This window comes from Homo sapiens, chromosome 7 (assembly GCF_000001405.40).
Source record: "Homo sapiens chromosome 7, GRCh38.p14 Primary Assembly".
NCBI lineage: Eukaryota > Metazoa > Chordata > Mammalia > Primates > Hominidae > Homo > Homo sapiens.
The window spans coordinates 34,993,047-35,014,775 of NC_000007.14; the positions used below are offsets into that span (position 1 = coordinate 34,993,047).

The window sequence follows — 21,729 nt, forward strand, 5'->3', positions numbered from 1 at the left end:
GATTCTGATCCTTTTGATTATTTTAAGTTAACACATATGTGTGACAAAGTATTCTGATCTAATTTGCGGCGTATTCTATCAGAAAGAATTTTTAAACTTTTATGTATTTAAATATGTTGATATTTTCCTTTATTTCTTCTGCACTTCCTGTCTTGTCTCTGAAGGTCTTCCACACCTTAAAACTATAGTCTCCTAAAATTTCTTCTAATATTATAAATTGCATTTTCCACTTAGCTCTTTCTCCCTAATTTTGTTCTCTTTGAAATAGCCAATTATATTAAAATCATTTATCAAGTAAACATCCCTTTTACCAGCGAAATGAAATTCAGCCTTTATCTTAATTTCTTACAATGCTAGACTCTGTTCTATTTCATTCAACTGACTTAATTCTGTATTTTTTTTTTTGTTATCACACTATTTTTATTACTGTAGCATTATGGTAATTTTAACACATGATTTTAAAAAGCTACCCACCCCCAACTACTCTTATTTTTAAGATTTTTTAGGTAATTCTTACCAACTTATTCTTACATATAACATCTGAACCAGTCTCCCAACCCTGCCCCCCCACCCAAGAAAAAATTGTCAGACTTCTGATCAGAATGACATTAAATTTATATATAATTTGGGTTGGGAAGGGCTGTCATTTATATGATGGTCATTCAGTTGCACAGTATATCTCTTTCCATTTACTCAATTCTAACTGTATTCCTTTAAATAAAAATGTTTGGGGTCAGGCACAGTGGCTCATGCCTGTAATCTCAGCACTTTGGAAGGCCAAGGCAAGTGGATCACTTGAGGCCAGGAGTTCGACACCAGCCTGCCCAACATGATGAAACACTATCTCTACGAAAATACAAAAAAAAAAAAAATTAGCCGTGTGGTGGCGCACAACTGTAGTCCCAGCTACTCAGGAGGCTGAGAGTCAAGATTCGTTTGAACCGGGAAGGTGGAGGCTACAATAAGCTGAGATTGCGCCGTGGCACTCCAGCCTGGGTGACAGTGAAACTGTCTCAAAAAATAAAAATTTTTTTGGACAACCAATGTAAGAGTCAAGTACTAAAAGTTAAAACTTCTAGAAATACAAAGAGAACATGATAAAATCTGATCACAGTAGAAAATTTTAATTCTTTCATAATCTAACAGGTCAAGTAAGCTAAAGGAAACATATTAGGGATCTGAAGGAGATAATCAACAAGCTCAATGTCGTGACTATACAGAGATTACACATCATTTTCTTATGTCACTGGAACATCTAGTTGCAAAGGCACCTCATTCTCTGATTAGAATCTAAAACAACCTAAAACACGAAAGATGAGTTTTTAAAAAAAATGACACTTGGGGAATTTAATGTAAAATTTCCTTTTAAAAATTCCCTGAACAACGAGGAATCAAAATGGAAATTTAATAACTTTAATTTTCTAAATGGCAGAGTAAAGGTAGAGAAAGAACAAAAGACTCACAAATCCAATTCCCTGGCGGGGCGCGGTGGCTCATGCCTGTAATCCCAGCACTTTGGGAGGCTGAGGCGGGCGGATCACGAGGTCAGGAGATCGAGACCATCCTGGCTAACATGGTGAAAACCGTCTCTACTAAAAATACAAAAAATTAGCCGGGCGTGGTGGTGGGCACCTGTGGTCCCAGCTACTCGGAAGGCTGAGGCAGGAGAATGGCGTGAACCCAGGAGGTGGAGCTTGCAGTGAGCCAAGACTGTGCCACTGTACTCCAGCCTGTGCGACAGAGCAAGATTCCGTCTCAAAAAAAAAAAAAAATCCAATTCCCCGACCAAATCTCAGGATGAGGTTTGCCTAAGAAGTCGCATACCCTCACTCAGTTGCCATACAACCTGGGAGGCTCTGAGGTTGGACAATTTCCTGAGGGCAGAGCCACGGTGACAACATTCCTTTTTCACCAAATTACTAAAATACAGGTTATGGTCCAACATCTTCCATGAATATGGGCCCAGCTTTACTTAACTAACAAAAGAGGCCGATTTTTTTCTATACACTTTTGGGAACTGCAAAGCTAGAGGAGGAGAATAAAATTTATTTATCTCCAAGGAATGTTCTGAGTTAGAAACACTGTGAAATGATGTGACTTGAAACAAATCTAAAATGGTGTTCTCCATGTCCACCCTCTCGCCCCAATCCATAGAGGCTACTAAGTCCTTTTATTTTGCTAAACAGAAAAGATGCAGCAATCAGAATACCTAAAATTTTTAAATTTTTCTCCCCACTATAGTTGATCAGTTGATATTTTAGCATTCCCTAGTGGTTAAAAAAAAAAAGTCTCTTCTGCAATATGACTGTCAGAAAATATGAAACCTCCTACTGTGCAAATTTTAAAACATTCTAAGCTTGCTAAACATTTACCACATTTACTCATACATCTCATTCACCTAAACCTTGATTTTTCTTAGATATAAAATGAAGGGATAATAAAAAATAAAGTTAAAAAGGACCTCAAAATACTTTCCAGTTCTAAAATTTAAGAATTCTATAATTATCTTCTTTCCTACCTACTACAGTTGTATAGATTTAAATCAATTATCAAGTTTTGATAGGTTTCATTAATCATTGAGATTTTTATCTCTATTTACAAAAATGATGAACCATCCAAAGTTAAACTTTTGAAGAGAAAAAAGCCATCAGAGTTAATTCAAAACTATATTAAATAACTCTTACGATTTTCTTATTGTATAAATGCTTAAGAAAGAGAAAATGGAGAAAAATTTGGAAATAATCAAATTAAGATAATTTCCAATCTTAAATTGGAGACTGAAGGCTTGGGCACCTTCCTAGCCCAATGAAGAAATGCCAAGCAGGCCTGGTTCAGAGCTGAGAACCTTCCCCTATACTCATGGCGGCGGTGGGGGGGGCGGTGGGGGGGATTCACTGGTTACTAAGTAAAGAGATAGGAAAGAAAGATGAGGAATGAGGATAAGAATCGGGAAGGGTGAGAAAAGTTCTCAGCTTGGTCCTTTCCAGTCTGTTTCAAGCAAGTGATTAACGCCGTTAATTTAACTCTCTATCTGCCGATTCTAACTGAAGTTATTTACTTATTAGATTGTGAACTCCTCAATTCACCCATGGTGCCTAGCACCAAGTCTTGTCCATGAAAGAAAATGAAAGGGTATCTGAAAATAGAACTATTCAATCAAAAGACTGCTGGCATTCCTTTTTTGAAAGCTTGCAGCCAAACACACCACACCTCATGTCATTGTTGCTCTTGGTACTGGCCCAAAAACCAGGCAGGACCATGTGTTCAGGTGAGCCTCTGCTCTGACCCAAACACCACACTCCTCAACTCCTACGCAGACCTCTCCACTGTGTGCTCCAGGCCCTTCATTCCATGGTGAACAACTACCTATCCAACAACTGCAGCCTCTTCCCAGATGCTTCCTCCTTCTCCTGCCTAGAAATATCACTCTCCTCTGAACAAATGCTTCCCCTGGAGCCTCCCTCCTAGTATTCCAGAGTCTGTCCACTTCCCTCCATCCCACCACCATCATACCAGCTCAGGCTCCCATCGTCTTCCCCTGGGCTGCTACAGCCTCCGACACCCCCTACCCAAAGCCTGCTCCCTCTACACTGCAGAGTGTGTTGTCTTTAACAATGAATGGACCCAATCCCACTCCATGCACACAGCCCTTCAATGGCATCCCTGCCCACAAGGTCAAATCCAAACACCAAAACATATCCGAAATGCCTCGCAGGATCTGGCCCCTGCATACACCTCAACTCCTTTCACTATTCTTCCTCCTACCCACACTCTGCTCTCCAGCTGCACTGCCCTCATCACAGTTCCTCAAATGATAAGACCACACTGACAACAGTGTGCAGAGCAGCCTGGGAGCAAGACTGGTGGGGAGCAGAGCCACATGAGCTGATGCAGAGTCATCCCAGGAGGATGGGCTGGCAGAGAAGTGGAAGGACGCCAGAGATACTCTGAAGCAGGACAGTAATAATAGGATTTTGTGACTCCTTGGATTACAGAGGAAAGAGGAAAGTCATGGCTATCTCTTAGAGGTCAGGCTGGGCATTAGAGTAGACAGAAGTGTCATTTGCTGAGAGAGTGAAGACATAAAAAGGGGAAGGTTTTGGAGAAAAGATGCCAATATTGCCAACCAACAACTTTCATCAATTTATGCATACTAAATAAAAATACTTATCTTTTAAATATTCATACACAACTGCTAGACCAAATGGGTTTGATTAAAGATATGTTAGCAGGCCAAGTTAATATTAATTCAAAAAAAAAAAAAGGCCAGGCACAGTGGCTCACGCCTGTAATCCCAGCACTTTGGGAGGCCGAGGCGGGCGGATCACAACGTCAGGAGATCAAGATCATCCTGGCTAACATGGTGAAACCCCGTCTCTACTAAAAATACAAAAAAAAAAAAAAAAAAAAAAAATTAGCTGGGCGTGGTGCCAGGCGCCTGTAGTCCCAGCTACTCGGGAGGCTGAGGCAGGAGAATGGCGTGAACCCAGGAGGCGGAGCTTGCAGTGAGCTGAGATCGCGCCACTGCACTCCAGCCTGGGCAACTGAGCGAGACTCCGTCTCAAAAAAAAAAAAAAAAAAAAAAAAGTAGCTGGAAAACTTTGAGATGGTAGATTCACAGCCTATTTAAGATGTGTTTTTTGGCCAAAAATCCAGCCTGTATAAGCAGCAAATGCTTGATTTTTTTAAAATAAAGAATAAGAAAATATCATGCAAAATAATGGAAGCAAAACTGGCATAAAATTTAAGAAATTCAACTTTTCCTTAAAACAGGTAGAGGGCAGTGGAAGAGTGGAAAACTAATACAAAACACTATTCCATTCTGCTACAGAGCCTAAGAATACTTCATAGGCAACTTGGTTGGATCACGGGAAGAGAAGGTAGGAAGATTAACTGTGTTAATGATGACTATTCACTCCAGATGTAAAGGGGGACATCAAGCAAAATTAAAAAGGGCTTTGACATACAGACTAATCATCCAGGCCCTCAGGGCTTCTGGAACATATCTAGAAATAAAGCAGCTTAAAAAAATCTCTCAGATATCAGAGAAACCACTCTGAACCTCCAATGACCAAAGAAGATAACAGAGAACAGAAAATTGGAAGATGAAGGTATTGTCCTCTGACTAGCTGGTTCCTTATGTGGAAGAAAAGGCATTTTCTGCTGACTACTTATGTCTACAAAAGGACGTCCAGGCTCTTCTCACAAAAGCTCAGAAACAATGAAGAACTGGGTAGAGACAACGGTAAAAATTCAAAAGAGGGGGAGGAGATCAGGAACAGATCAGAGGGGCCACAGGAACTCTGGGCAGCCCCCATTAAATGTAGAGTTCGTGAAAAAGATCATTTAAGTTCTCTTCAAAAAGCGACCTCATCGCCAGAGAGGGGATGAAGTAAGGAAAAGGGAACACTGACCCTGCCTCAGAAAGTGTGTGCTCAGCCCTCATGCATAAGTGTCTGCATATGACCAGGGGTGAGGGGGAGGAGTAGTCAATGGCACTGGGTGTCACTTCTGCACTGACGTGAAGAATCAGATATGTCTCCCGGACTCTGGCCACAGGCAGAAGCAGCTGAGGCTGGTAAACGAAAAAGCAACAAGATGAAAGGAGCCTGGGTCTCCCCAAACAAAGCAGTTTACACCCTCATCATGCTGTAATAAAAGCCACTAGTCAGTTAAGACCCATCCACTTTGCAATCTTCCAACCAGCTCCTCATTCTTAGATACAAATGTCAAGCTAGGAATCAGCAGGCTGTGGGGATGGAAGCTTCCAATGTGAAAAATAGAAACTAATACAAATTGAAGGGGGACCTAGAGGTAACAAAGACAATGCAACAGGCAGAGAAATTTTCAAACTCAAGATTCTTTAAGTTGGAAATCTAACAGAAATGACAATAAAATGTAAAAATAAAATAAGGGAGAAAAACCCTGAGAAAATTCGACTTCAAGAAGTCCAATATCCAATCACTAACTTTCAAGAAAACAGGAAAAAAGAAATGGAGAAGAGAATGTCATTAGGGAAATAATACTAAAAAAAGTTTTCCTCCAAAGTGAAGAAAGTAAGTGCCCAGATAGAGCGCACAAAGTATGCGATGAGAAGGATGAAATAATATCTACCACATCATGACCTTTTACGGGACTAAAGAGAGAAAGATGAACCCAAAAGGTGCCAGAGGAAAACAACTAGCCACACACAAAAGGAACTAATGGTAGAATAGCACCAGACTTTTGAAAAGCTACACTCCATCTTAGAATACAGTCGAACAAAGCCTTTAAAAGTCTGAGGAAAAATAAAAATCAACAACCAGGCAAACCAGTAATTGAGTACAAAAATAAAAAAGGAAATGTTCAAACATGTCAGACAAATGTATTTTAAAATTATCTCTGTGACTCTCTTGGAAATTACCTGAGGATATGATCCTCAAAAGGATGAAACAGACCAGAAAGAGACCAACCTGGGGTCCAAAACACAATGAATCCAATGCAAGAGAGGAAAGGGGAATTCTCAGGATGGTGGTAAACAAAACTCCAAGGGAATCGCTAAACGGAAGCCCAGGGAAGGACGGGTCTAGGATGGAACCAGAGACAGAGGCTCCAGGAGGGAGGCCCCAGGGGATAGGAGTGGGAGAATTGAAATAATGGATTTTATACATTTGACAAAGTACAAAATAAGTGTTTACAGTTCAGCTGTAGATCTGGAGAGGAATTAATCAGCATACAGAACACCAAGGAAAACAAAATATTAGCAATAATTAACCACAGGAAAAATTTTAAGTTACCAAATAAACAATTATTTATACCACTTAATTCAGCAGTAAGCAATATTTTTACAGTCATAATAATGTAACTGCGGACTATGGTTTTACGTATCAGAATTGCTGAGTTTCCAAAGATCTGAAAGTGGCTTTCCCTAGACAAAGGGATACACAGGGTGGGGAAGACAGATGGGGCAAGGGACCACTGACGTACTTGATTATAAAAAGTTGAATAATGCCAAAAGATATGCATGTATATACAAAGCAGTGAAAATTCAGTTTAAAAACATACTAATAACTAACATACCCATTGTAGAGCACATTAATAGAAAGAAAGTTGTTCAATTAACTTACATGGAGACCTCTTGATCTTTGCCAAAAAATACTTCTAAGGAACAAATCATAAAAATGTTCCAGATAACATTAAAATAGCTGTTCGTATTCACCACCAAAAGAAATAATACAGTATATTTTAACCTTGGCTTGAAAACCATTAAAGAAAAACCTTCCAAAAAAAAGAAAAACTTTCCATACTGAAATTACCAACTACAAACTACCAGATCATGCGAAGGTATGGAGTTACAGTCATCTTACCTGGAGAATGAGGAGTCGGGGAAATGTGTAATCACAAAAGCAGACATTTAAGAATCCGCCCCCCAACATGCAGTATGTTACCTTTCCCTCCAATGTGTCGTTAGTTCAATAAATGAGTCTAAGTAAAATTAACTGAGGAAACTATTAGAATAATTATAAAATTACATGTATGACAGCTAAAAATGGAGCACAATAGGATCCTGAAAAATGGCAATATTAGAAAGAGTAAACTTCCACCTATCAAACCAAAACAATGCATACAGAAATATCAGCTGAAGAACAGCAAAATCCTGGGACCTCAGAATCCTTCGGAAATGAATTATTACAGAACAGTAATATTCTGGAACATCAGAACAGAAAAGAGAACGGAAAGTCTAGATCCTTCTTAGTGTCATGTATCTTTAAAACATTTTAAGTAAAACTTTTTATGAAATATAAATACCACTTACTTTGGCAATGAAATAAACACTTTTTTCTTCATTATGCAGGATCTTTAAACAAAAATTAACTAAAGCTGCAGACAATTTAATTGCTGTGGAAAGAACACTTAAAATGTATTCTCAGAGACAGTAGAGCACACGTTTTGGAGCCACTGTTGGTACTCAAATCCCTACTCTGCCAGTGACTAGCTCTGTGACCTCGGAAAAGTTATTTAATATCCTTGTGTCTCAGTTTCCTCATCTATAAAGCGGTTTACCTATCTCATGGGAAAACCATATGGATTAAATGAGTTTCTGATAGTAAAGAGTTTAGAGCCTCGCACATAAGCGTCATACATGAACTGAACTTCTGCAATCAAAAACAGTCTTCAGTGAAGATTGGAATCTGCAGAAGGAAAGCTTCAGAATGAGTCCATTGGAAAAATACTTCCTAAATTGGTAAACGCTAGTAAAGCTTATGTGATAGATAATATGTTTTTATTGTGCCTTTCATATATGGCAACCATAAGCTAAGTTTTTCTTTCAATATTTTATTATTAATTAATTTATTCAATCAAAAAATATTTTGGAAGGCAAGCATTCTTCTGGGTCACTTGCAAACACTACCTTATTCCATTCTCACATAGAAGACAGAGTCTCTTAAACTCATTTAGGTGTTCTTCCCTCTACTCAATCACTTCTTTAAAAATCATCTATAATCTTCCATTTCAGTTAACCTAATAAAACACTGCACCTCCCTTTTACAACCCTAAAAGACCTCTGTTACTTTATATTTTCTTTTACATTTAAAGGCAAACCAAAGAACTGGCAGTCACTCTAAGTTCTGCTCACATCATTTATTCAAACTATATAAAAACTCAACCTTAACAGATTCCACCCACAATTTAGAGCTTCTATACAGCTTTTTTTGGTCTTCTAGCCTTAATCATGACAGCCTAAGTTTGCCAGACATCTAAGGAAGGCACCTAACATGGAAGGTAGAGACCAAAGGATGTTTAAAAAAACAAGCTAGGCCGGGCACAGTGGCTCATACCTGTAATCCCAGCACTTTGGGAGGCTGAGGCGGGCGGATCACCAGGTCAAGAGATTGAGACAATCCTGGCCAACATGGTAAAAACCCCTCTCAACTAAAAAATACAAAAATTGGCTGGGTGTGGTGGTGCGTGCCTGTAGTCCCAGCTACTTGGAAAGCTGAAGCAAGAAAAAATTGCTTGAACCCAGGAGGCCAAGGTTGCAGTGAGTCAAGATCGTGCCATTGCACTCCAGCCTGGTAACAGAGCGAGACTCCAGCTCAAAAAAAAAAAAAAAAACAAAACAAAAAACAACAACAAAAAAAACCCACACACACAAGCTAGAAGATGCCAAGGTTATTCTGGGAGGGTAAAAACATCATTAATACCCTTAGAGAGAATATTTATTGAATCCAAGAAACAAAAATAAAATACTATTTTTTAAAAAGGAATGTTTATAGAACAAACAAAACTTCTTGGAAATTAAAAGCATGATAATGAAAAATAAAAACTCAGTAGAAGGTTGGAAAAAATAAGGCTGATAAAATGTTCTAGAATGTAGAACAAAGCCAAAGAGCTTAAAAATGGGGGGAAAAAAAAGAAAATTAGAGGACTGGAAACTACAAACATCCAAACAAAAGTTCTGAATCAGAAAACAAAGGGAATAAAATAAGTAAAGAAATAATTCAAGAAAATTCTCAGAAATCAAAGGCATGATTGAAACAACCCATCAAGTGTCCAAGAGAACACATGAAAGCAGATCTACACTGAGACATATTGCTCTGAAATTTCAGAACCATAGAGACAAAGAAGATATTCTACAATCTTCCAGAGAGAGGAAGGGGAAGCAAAGGTCACATACAAAGGTTTAGAAATTTGAATAACTTAGGAACATCTGAATAGCATCATCTGAAGCAACCAACAATGTTCTCTTTTCTTCTTTTGAGACGGAGTCTTGCTCTGTCGCCCAGGCTGGAGTGCAGTGGCACAATCTTGGCTCACTGCAAGCTCTGCCTCCTGGGTTCACGCCATTCTCCTGCCTCAGCTTACTGAGTAGCTGGGACTACAGGTGCCCGCCACCACGCTTGGCTAATTTTTTTGTATTTTTTAGTAGAGACGGGGTTTCACTGTGTTAGTCAAGATGGTCTCGATCTCCTGACCTTGTGATCCACCCACCTCGGCCTCCCAAAATGCTGGGATTACAGGCGTGAGCCACCGTGCCCGGCCAGCAACCAACAATGTTTTCAAGTCTAGAGTTCAACACTCGGCCAAACAGTGAACCAAATACGAAAGCAAATAAACACATTTTGCAAAGTTTCATAAAATGTTTACTTCCCAGCTATCTACTCTCAAGACCTACCTACTAGAAGATGAGGTCTACCAAAGAGGGAAAATAAACCAAGAAAGAGGAACAAACAGGATAAGGGCACAGGGGATCCAACAGGGGAGAGCAGTCAAGGAAATCCCAATGGGATGCCAAAAGGACAGATGTACACAAACCATGGAAGGTAGCCAGTCCAGAACCAAGTACTGACTCATGCCCAAAATCTCCACATTTTATTTGTGTGAGCCTGGATGAGCCTGGACCAGATTCTTGTCTGTATTTTATCTTGGCTCCACATACTTTACTGCTGGCATCAGTTAAAGACACTTATATCACTCACAGAAGTTGTTCTGCTTTGATATGCTCCAGAGAGCCAGGGTAAACAGTGGTGAATTTAGAAAGAGGGAACAGCTCTTCCCCTCATGATATTTCTGCTGGATATTCAGTACCTGGCCACTACATTTCTGCCAGATGTCCCTACCGACTGAGTCCTACATTTATCCCAGGCTCATGACGTTGCCTACTGATGTCCTGAGGAATCAGGCTCCTGGTTGAAAACCTATATGGGATTTCTCAGGCCTGGCCATATGCAAGGCTTTGCCTGACAGGCCTCACAGGGAAAAGAAGCCCTTCACACACCAGGCTTGGTGCAGAGCCAGTGTACTGTAGTCTCTCAGGGGAGTTGCAGTCAATGACTCAGCCACTTCTGGGTGATAAAGCTCTTCTTATATTTGCCTTCCTAGCCCAGGCACCTTTATTTCCTGGTCCTTTTCTCTGCTGTGGCCTGGCGGAGAGGGGCTCCTTGAACAGGCCGCTCCCCACTCTGACTCAGACTCTGCACTCTTTGGCTCCTAGCCCTTCTCCTTTGCCCCATCACTTCAAGAACCATAAACTACAGGAGCCTTTTGTTCCCTTTTGATGGGGGTGAGACATCCTGATCGTCACATCTCACGTATACCATTACAGTAAATGATTAAAGGCTTAACTCTCACTTTTGGCTTGTCGCTTTAACCAGCCACTCCAATACCTGGCAGCTCAGCTCCCTCCCCTAGCTCAGCTGCGCTCCTGACAGCCTCAGAAAGTTCCCTCAGGGAACCTAAAGACCATGACTCAGAAATTCTCTTCTTCTGGGAACTTTCATCTAACAAGGGCAATAGTGTCCTCCCCTTAAGCAGCTAGGTTTGTGCCTGATACTCAGTTTTTCAAAACTAAACACACCATATTTAAGGGTAAACACATGAGTGGCACAATCATAAAGAAAAACAAGGAAAACATTGGTCCAAAAGTTAGGATGTCATTTCTTCTGAGGGTTGAGGGAAGGAAAGAGAATGTATTAAGAAGGAATTTTAAGGGTATGAAAGCTCTGATAATTTATTTATTTTTCTAATCTGTGTCATGGGTACATAAGTATTCATTTTACTAATCTTTAAACATGTATATAAAGATTTTACACAATTCCATAGTCATAACATTTTACACATAAAAAAGTATTTTACTGGTTATTTATTTACTGGGTCATAGATAATACACTCATATGATAGCAATGCATAAAATAAAGTAAGAAATTTCACACAGCTGTTTCTTATAAGATCCTCAATATAAACTGAAGGGATAATTTAAAAGTAAAGTTCCAGTAAAAGTATTGCATGGGATACAATAAACAAAAGTCCAAGTAGGCAGCAGTGACTGGGCAGCTGTCAGTCAATAATGAGACACTCCGCAGGGGCATTGTTCTGTCTCCCCCAGGATGACTCATCAGCCACACTCACTGCCCACTGTTTTCTCCAGAAGACCTCCTCAGATGGCACTTGTTCTAGAATGGAATCAAAGGCTGAAGAGTCTAAAAATCTAATGGGTTATTTTGGGGGCAACCTCAGATAGGATACTGAATGGGAAAGAACTCAGAGTCTAACATAAGATCTAAAAATCAACTTAAGTACTTTTATAATTCTACCATATTTCTCTTATTTTAGGCAAAGGAATTTTTGTCTATTCTTCAGCTCCAGTTTTAAGGAGAGTAGTAGGAACTCTGAAGACAGAGGCAGCAGTAATCAGGGGAGAACGATACAAAGAAATGAAGCTCAAAAAGACAGCACCAGAGTCCTCTCTGGCCAGCCACAGGCCTGGTCTGTGAAAACCCTGAGTGGTTTCAGGCATCATTTCACCATCCTAAGATTCAAAACAAATCAAGCAATCAAAGGCAGGGCTGCTAAGTAAGCAGCTGCACAAGCAGAGCAGTGGGAGAGGTGAATGGGACCAGGGCCTCGCTGCTGGGGAGAGGAGGAAGGGGTGGGAGACTAGATGGGGGTAGCAAGGGGACCCAAGGGAAGTCCAATTAAAAAGTTTTATTGGCCAGGCACAGTGGCTCACACCTGTAATCCCAGCATTTTGGGAGGCCGGGGTGGGTGGATCACCTGAGGTCAGGAGTTTGAGACCAGCCTGACCAAAATGGTAAAACCCTGTCTCTACTAAAAAAAAAAAAAAAAAAAAAAAAAAATTAGCCAGGTGTGGTGGTGCGCGCCTGTAATCCCAGATACTCAGGAGGCTGAGACGAGAATTGCTTGAACCCGGGAGGTGGAAAATGCAGTGAGCTGAGATCGCACCATTGCACTCCAGCCTGGGCAACAGAGTGAGATTTCGTCTCAAAAAAAAAAAAAGTTTTGTCTTAATTTTGTCATGTGAGAGAGAAGGTAAGGGATGAACACATTCTGAGGCGGATGGGAAGGAACCAGGAAAGCAAGCCTGAAGGACAGCAACAGGCAAAGAACTGGCAGCCAGTAGGGATAAATCTAATACCTACAAAGGAATGAGCCTTAAACAAAGGCACTTTTTTCGATGATTCTCTGATTCCACCAGGCCTCTGTATCTCAGTATTGTACTCCCTCTTTTATTTCAGCTAGTCAGAGTATTTCTGGCACCCTTTTCAAAAGAGAAAGAAAAAATCTCCTGCTTATAAACCCTGTTATTGTTTGCACTCATCCTTACATAGCAGTAAAATTTATAATAAACTTTATAGACATATGTATTTTTCCAGAGAACTGTTAAACATATACATTATTTAACAGCTTAATACACTATCCAATCTATTCTTCCTCAACAATGCACCATAACCTAGCTAACCCCGAACTCCAAAATAATACTAAAATCACACTAAAGTGCAAAGAATAAAAGTTTTAGTATCACCTGCTTGATATCTGCCTTAGAGTCCAACACCAAAAGTTTTTTGTATTTATCAATAAGAGAAACTTAAGCATATATGAATTTCCTCCAGAAGAAACTAGGGGGAAAGTTCTAACTGTCCAACAACCAATGCTCCTTCTTACTTGCAGAACAGAGATTTCCACACACTGGGTCTTAAGAAACTGGCCTTCAGAAACTGTTAGTCTGTGGCTAAGAAATATCAGGGTATCTTATGAAATACATAACGTAAGTATAAATCAATACAGCTTCAAAAAATAATTAACAATGAGTATTTTAAAAAAAATACTAAAATACTGAGAATTCCAGAAAAAGAATTATACCATGAGTAGGCTGTGTTTGCAAAACAGATCTCACTTCATCTCCTCAAGTTAGAGCTTGGCAGCCTGGCTCCATTCACCATTTGCCTGTTTTCTATTTTCCCTTCTTCCATTTCTGGCGAAATGGACTGGCTTACCTGGCTTCTAAAAACTTATATGTATATTATTTCAAAACAAATATACTTCTGAATTTAAAATGTCACAGTCAATCTGCCTGCAAATTTCTAACCTGCTAGACAAATCTCAACTTTTATTTCTCAGTACATAATACAATTTATTTTTTTAATCCTAAAAACAACTTTAGATACCCTCCTCTTTATTTTTAACCCATATTTTAAGAAGTCTGCAGCTTTATCCCTTTCATAAAATTACAAGGGTGACTAACCATCAAGGAAGAAAATATTAAGAACTAACTAGTAATCTGAAACCTCTAAATGTACTTCAGGTCAAAAAACATACAAAAATGCAATGAAAAACACTGATAGAAAAGAAGTGATAAGAGACTCTATTCAAAATAATATACATCAGGATCAATTTTGGAAAGAACCTTCAGTTAACGATGCCTTTGAATAGAGCTAAAGAGATGGTTCCGGGTTAAGAAAAAGCCCACAAACACAAAAGGAAAGCTGGAAAAATGAAAACATGTGCTGCTAGTGCAGACCACCATGGGGTCCAAGAGTTGGGTAACACAGAAGGGGCCAGCTAAAGCACAAAGCAGTCAAATGGGCAGAGTGAAACAAGCTATAGCCACTGACATTGGAAGAACCAGAGACAGCCATCTGGAAAGACCCAAATGCTCTAAGGTAAAAGCTGCCCTCATGCCACCTTAAGCAGTAGTCTACAGACTTTTTTACACCAAAACTACAGTAAGAAGGCTTTACACAACTCAGCACACACACGTGTGGTGTGTGTGTGTGTGTGTGTGTATATATATATTTATAGCAAATAGAAGTTTCTCTAAATAGTATCTATCCTTATTAGTGTGGTATATGATATTATTTACTTTGCAGCATTTTTTTTTCTTCATCTAAAATGAAATGGGCTCAACCCACTGAATCAATTTTAAAACTCTCTAATAAGTGATGCCCTGCAATTTGACAAACACTGTGCTGAAGTAGTCACTGCTTGACTTTGGGGACTGGGGAAAGTCAAGTGTTCTATGAGATCATACTTCAGCTTGAATCCTGTTCTTATACTGGTCAATTTTTGTACTTATTTCACTTGCTTTGGAATAGGTTTCAACCCAGTCAGTTACCAAGGCCTTTCATCATCCAGCACAACCTCTGTTCCAATCTGAATCCTCCACAACACTCCCTGAAGAACATGCATCCCAGCAAAACTGATCTGCTTATTACCTGCTTTCCACATACTAGATTTTGGCCTTTGTCTCTCCCTGGTATGCTTTTATCTTCATGGTTTATTTCCACCTATTCAAATACCTCTGATTCTACAAGGTCACACTAAAGTAGCCCCTCCATGCAGAACAAATTTCTCCTGCCTCTGAAGTTCTAAGCACTTAATTTTTCCTTCCTGTCTATCTTCCATTCACACACACCCTGCTGCACTCCCATGCTCTCAGAGCCCAGAGTTTTAAGAAACTACTTGGTATGAATAGTGTGTGTTGACTGAACAACTGAATATGCATCTCCCATGTAGACAAAAAACTGTCTACCAGGCACCACAGGGTTAGGTCAGGTCAGGGCCAAAACCACCAAAAACCCCTCAACCAAAACCAGGAACTTTTATTCTCTTCAGTAGATGTTGTGCCTTCTGCCTTTGAAAAAACAGTTATAACAAGCATTACAAGAAAATGTGAATGCTTTAACGGATGTTTACAAATTCTTCTTTCAATTAAAAAAGTAGCCAGGCATGGTGGCACACACTTGTAGTTCCAGCTACTTGGGAGGCTGAGGCAGGAGGACTGCTTGAAGCCAGTGGTTTGAGGCTATAGTGCTCTGTGACCACATCTGTGAATAGTCACTAGACTCCAGCCTGGGTAACAATATAGCAAGACCCCATATTTTTTTAAAAAAAGGGTAGCATAAGTGCAGATTAGCAGCTTAGCAGTAATGCCATGTTTCATATTTTAACTTCTCTTATGTAAAATCTAATCTCCCAAATGTAATAAAGCTACCCATAGACAGATGGGCAGTACTCAGCAAAATGAATAGACACCACCAAGTTTCTCTCCCTCTGGCTCATTACGATGCAAGCACACAGGCCCACTTTCCCTCAAGTCAGCCTCCTTTTCTCATTACCATATTCTTTTGGTTTAACTTATTTCCCTGCATCTTGTTTCAAAAACAAAATCTTTCACAATCATCTTTTAATCATGCATTTTTATTTTAGTCTCCCCAATTAAACAAAAGAATTTTCTTAGACCTAAGTCAGAAATAGTAACATCAAAGTGTCTTAAATCTATATGCAAATATATTTTACATTGATCTTCTAACAGCTTCCTCTTTTGACAAATGCTTATCAAGTAACTGCTAGATACTCAAACGGTGGGCTAGAAACTCAACACATCTTTGAGGTACTAAACTGAAAATGCCACACTTCCAAAGGAAAGGAGATAATGCGATAATAGCAAATTCAAACTCATTATCCCAAATTGAAAATCATATACAATTCTCATAATTCTGTACTACAAAGAATCAATAAGCAGCAAGGAAGAAAATTCTAAAGATAATCTCAAGGTAAAATACTTCAAACATATATACAGAATAATAAATTGGCAAAAAAGAAGTAAACATAAAAAGCCTTAAAAAATTAGTCTTTTAGTTTTAGGAATGCTGCTCAACTGTAAAGTAAATCAGGTCAGATACTAAATATTGTACAGAAGACACTTCTAAATATTACATAGAAGATACTTCTACTTTAACATTAATAAAGAGCTATTAATATCATTTGATAATGAGTGGTCTTTTCCCTTATATTTTATGTAAACAATATATACTGGATGGAGCTGAAACCATCTACAGCCATTGACATTGGAAGAAGAACCACAGACAGCCATCTAGAAAGACCCAAATGCTCTAAGGTAAAAGCTGCTCCCTCATGTTACCTTAAGCAGTAGTCTACAGACTTTTTTTACACCAAAACTACAGTAAGAAGTAAGACTTCACACATCTCAGCACACACACGTATACACGTACATACAGCAAATGGAATATACTGTTCCATAACAATATATTAGATATTCCATAACAATATATGGAATATATATTGCTTATGTTCAAATGCCTATGAATATTCAAAATTTATGCCAGGCACTGTGGCTCATGCCTGTAATCCCAGCACTTTGGAAGCTGAGATGGGCAGATCACTCAAGCCCAGGAAGTTGAGACTAGTCTGGGCAACATAGCAAACCCTGTCTCTACAAAAAATACAAAAAAATTAGCTGAGTTTGGTGGCGTGCACCTATAGTCCCAGCTACTCAGGAGGCTGAAGTGGGAGGATCGCTTGAACCCAGGAGGCGGAGGTTGCAGTGAGCAGAGATCACACTACTGCACTCCAGCCTGGGTGACAGAGTGAGACCCTGTCTCAAAAAAAAAAGTAATTAAATTTATCAAGTATTCCCAATTCTATTTACATCTCTAAAACTATCTTAAGTGTGATGGGCCATGGCAGTGGTGAAATCATGCAAATAATGAATTTTATGATAATAAGATATTTTAGGATATTTTCATAAAACTGAACTATAAATTAATCAATGATTAACTATTAACTAATCAACTATTTTATTTTAGTATATCTTATAAACACATACTAAAATATTCTTACCTTAAATATGTGCCATATATGAAGAATAATGCCATCATTAGTCCATTTAAAATAAAAATTACAGCAACATAAAAGCAAGCAGGATCTCCCAATCCTTTAAAAATAAACAAAACATATGTTCTAATCACATTAACCCAAATTACCTTACGTGTCTAGCAATTTATATTAAATTGTGTTCATTTTGAAAATGGTTGCCAGATATATTAAATAGCTGCCTTGGTTCCCACATGAAAACACAACACTACTGCAGAACATAGATGAGACCAGGGTAATTAGCAATGATGGTTTTAAAACAGGGCTGCAAATTCACTGATACGCCTCCTCTGGAGGTATGGGGTCTATAGCCCCCATTTTTGAGTTTCATTGGGCTTGTGACTCTTTCAACAGAGTATGGCAGAAGCAACACTATGTGACTTCTGAGGCTAGGTCATAAGAGGTCATACAGTGTCCAGCTTGGAGCCTTCAGCTGCCATAGGAAAAGCCTTACTACTACTCTGAGGTACTTTGCTTTCAAAAAGCCCAAGTCACCCCGAAAGGCCACATGTAGGTGTCCCAGCTGAGAGTTCCAGCTGAGCTCAGCCTCACAGTCCTCCATGCCCAGGAGCCAAAATGTGAGCAATGTAGCCTCTCAGTTAATTCCAGCCTTCCCAGACATTTGAGTCTTAGTAGCAGAGGTCCCTGAAATCATGGACATAAACCAGCCCCGCTAAAGCCTGCCCAAATTCTGGACTTGCAGAATCTATATATGCATAATAAAATGGGTGTTGTTTATACCACTAAGTTTACAGTGTAAGTTTATTATGCTAGATAAGTTTATTATGTTACAACAGATAACTGGACAATATTACAGAAAGAAACTTACCTTCACAGCTTTCAATAGGACTGAGTCCTTCTCCTCTGGTAACCGTCCAACATATCTTGGTTTGAATACCAATCAAGTCCATTATTTTGGTATAAATCCGGTACCAACTGGCCAAAATTACCTATTTTAAAAAATACAGAGGCATCTTAAGAAAATATACTAAACAATTTTCATTACTAGAATACTTTTGAGATACTTTGACAATTACCATATTTTCCCTTTCCATACCATCCACTTGGCTCCCTTTAAATGTAGTAAAACAAGGCTCAGAATCTCCTAGGCAGATTCTTCACTGGTCAGTTTTCAATTGTTCATCCATGGGTAAGGACAAAATATGGGCCAAAAAAAAGTGCTAAATTTATGTTTTTCAAAAGCTCTACAACTCTACTAAGAGACACAAAAGAAGATTTGCACAAGTAAAAGATACTGGGTCTACTGGAATAGACCGAATTATTTAAGATATGAATTCTCCCTCAAATTAATTCATAAACATAAAATAATTCCAGTCAAAATTCCAAGTGTCTAAAATGTATCTAGAAAACTAACAAGAAAATTAAAGGGAATGTTTTAACAGATATTAAGTCTTACCACTTTTAATAATTAAAATAGTGTGATACTGGCACAAGAATGGCTAGACAGATCAATAACCATGGTACAAGCGGTGGCAAGCCACCCCAGATTCCCTCTTCCGGGCTGAGGCACTCATTCCTCCAGCTGGTTAGAAGACTGGTGCCTGAAAGCTTGAAGCTGTGTCCCTCCATGGGAACTGCCCATGGCTGAAGAAAGTAAATTCACTCAAGGTGACATCCCCTACCCACGGGCAATCTGCATCTGATGACCGACTAGTCAATAGGGAAAGACATCAAGGCCAGGGGCCCTTCTCACAAGGTAGGACAACTCTGCAAAGCCATCCCAGATCCAGAGCTGCCCAGGGACTGGATGAGGCCTTCACAGTGACTGTATCAAAGCTCTCCTCTTCCTCCTACCTCATTCTGCTTCATTCATCCCCCTTCAGGTGTTGGCCCTAAGGACACTCCCTCGACTACTTCCTGCATGCAAATCTCCATCTCAAAGTCCACTTTCCAGGACCTCAACCTAAGGCAATACTGAGCACAAAATCCAGAAACACGTGCAAGCATGTATGTATAATAATTTTGCATATAAAGAAAAAAGCTTACTTCAAATCAGTGGAGAGAGGATGGACACCTCATCAGTGTTAGGTTACACACAATACATTTTCAAAAAACAATTCAAGGTTAGATTCCTACCCCACACTATGCATCAAAACCAATTCCAGATAAATTAAAAATGTAAATTAAAAAAAATTATGATTATAAAAATGAAGTTTTTTACATGTATGTATAAAAGACAAAAAAGATTCAAAGATATATTTCTGTATAGAAAAAAATACATAGACATCATACACAAAGCTAAAGGGCAAACAACTGGGGAAAATGTTTCATTATATAGCATTATATTAATATCCAGTATATAATAAATGAACTTATAAAATTTTAACAGAAATATAGATGAAAGGCATGAATTGGCAATTATTTTTAAAAGTAAAAATGCATTATGTATATATGTATGTGTGTTATATATACATATATAGAGAACACTGATATATATATATAAAATCAATGAATGAAATACATCACGTGACCAATTTGTCTATCCAATTAACAAAGATGCAGGTAAATAAGTAGTTTCAAAAACACTGCTGGTGGATAGTTCAATATCTATCTGGAAAGCCTTCTGACAAAATCATTAAAATATATATTCTATTGAACTAGAGTTCCACATCAACAAATTTATAGTTTTGCAAGGAGGATAAAGGAGAGGCCAAATGTCATCTCCACTTGCTGGATTGGGCTCACCTTCCCTCCACTCCCACTCAAGAAAGTGCACTCAATTAAATGAGGAAAGGGAAGAAAACATTTAACAAATGACATGTAAAAGTAACAGCGCTCCCTTGGTATAATCCCTGTAAGCACACCAAATCTAGTTTTTATATTTTCTAAACAATGCAATCAAATCAACAGTTCCCCACAGAATTAAAGCCCTCTCCTCAAAATCAGTAATGATCTTTTTTACATATTCCTCCACAAGATACATATTTTCTTTTAAAAAATTAAATACAATTTAATATATTGAATTATATCTTAGATTTAGAATCAGCGTTTAATACAAAAAAGTTTTTACAAAAGTGAAAAATCACAATTGGAAAAAGTACCTTACCTCAGGGTAAAGATTGAATCTTTTTAATGTATTAATGACAAGGGGGTATTCAGTCAGTTTATCATTCATAATCATCCATACTCCATTCAAAAATGAGGGTGCTTCCACAATAGTCTTGAAATAGGAATAATATAGTCCCTGAAATAAAGATATGCTCAATTAAAATAACAAAAGGTACATAATTATGATGCCACTTCTAAGTAAATACACTGTTTTTGAAAAACAAAGCAATTAAGTAATAGCTATTAATACAATGAATTTCACAGGTTTCTGATCACTGATAAATCCTAAAGTTGTGAAAAAACTATGTATTTTCACATAAATGCATCTTAATTGAAATAACTGAATGCAAAATAGCTTCAAAAAGTTTCAGCATTTAAAAAATAATACGACTCAGCATACTTCAACTTAGAAAATCCTATTACTTATACTAATATCACTCTTAGAAAATGCTATCTTATGAATAGAGTGAGTGGTTTATTATGGAACTAAAATTTATCATGAACCAAGAAATCTCAAGCCAAAAATACTCCTCTAACTGCTTATTTTAATCCCCAAAATGACACTATCAGTCATTTTTCCTCCGGATTTACATGCAAAAATGCAAATGTGTTGAGAAGGCTACACACTGATGTATTATTACATATGAATTTCACTCGGGTGCCACCTAATTTTACAGATTATTTTCCCTCCTATCAAGTCAGCATAAGGTAAGAACCCTGTGCGACTGGGGATAAGGGTGGGGAGTGGTCCTCTTTTGAAGAAAAGAGACAGTTTTTAGCTTGGCACACTACTTTGGAAAGATAGCAAGGGTGAAATAATATGTGAGACAAAAAAAAAACAAGAAAATACTAGAAGCCTAACGGAGAGTCTAAGTGGCAGTATGAGGGAAGACAGAAACACAAGATAAATCTACGTCTTGTATTTGCATCTTCAGTTTTCCCTGGAGCTGCCCTGGTAGCCAGTACCAGTAGCTGCCAAAGTTTAAACTGGGTTTAAGACTCACAAATACAAAAGAGATATGCCTATCCAGAAACTTATTGAAAAAGAAAAAAATGGTCTTGATACTCTGATGTATCGACTCTGATACCACTATTTTTAAAATTATGTTTCCTTGTGTACTGATTTGGATAGTGTCCCCTAAAATTTCATGTCCACCAGACCCTGTGGAGTGATCTTATTTGGAAATGGGATTCTTGCAGACGTGA

General features: G+C 38.5%; 1 protein-coding gene across 3 annotated transcripts in view, besides 1 other annotated feature; it reads right to left on the reverse strand.

Moving 5' to 3' along the window:
- DPY19L1 (dpy-19 like C-mannosyltransferase 1) overlaps positions 1–21,729 on the reverse strand; it is a 109,161-nt gene that overhangs the window by 64,166 nt on the left and 23,266 nt on the right. For all 3 annotated transcript variants that reach the window (NM_015283.2, XM_011515246.4, NM_001366673.1), the window contains exons 4-6: positions 20,522–20,659; positions 18,284–18,404; positions 17,422–17,515 (exon numbers count right to left, since the gene is read on the reverse strand). In NM_015283.2, coding sequence (NP_056098.1) covers positions 17,422–17,515; positions 18,284–18,404; positions 20,522–20,659 — 353 coding nt within the window. The remainder of the gene's footprint in view (positions 1–17,421; positions 17,516–18,283; positions 18,405–20,521; positions 20,660–21,729) is intronic.
- Positions 10,712–11,310: a silencer, noted in NCBI's record as "fragment chr7:35043370-35043968 (GRCh37/hg19 assembly coordinates)". NCBI's record gives its function as "represses an EF-1alpha promoter that drives an FKBP-Casp9 reporter gene in an ReSE screen in phorbol 12-myristate 13-acetate-treated (for megakaryocytic differentiation) K562 erythroleukemia cells {active_cell/tissue: K562(+PMA)}" and the evidence as "EXISTENCE:reporter gene assay evidence [ECO:0000049][PMID:32094911]".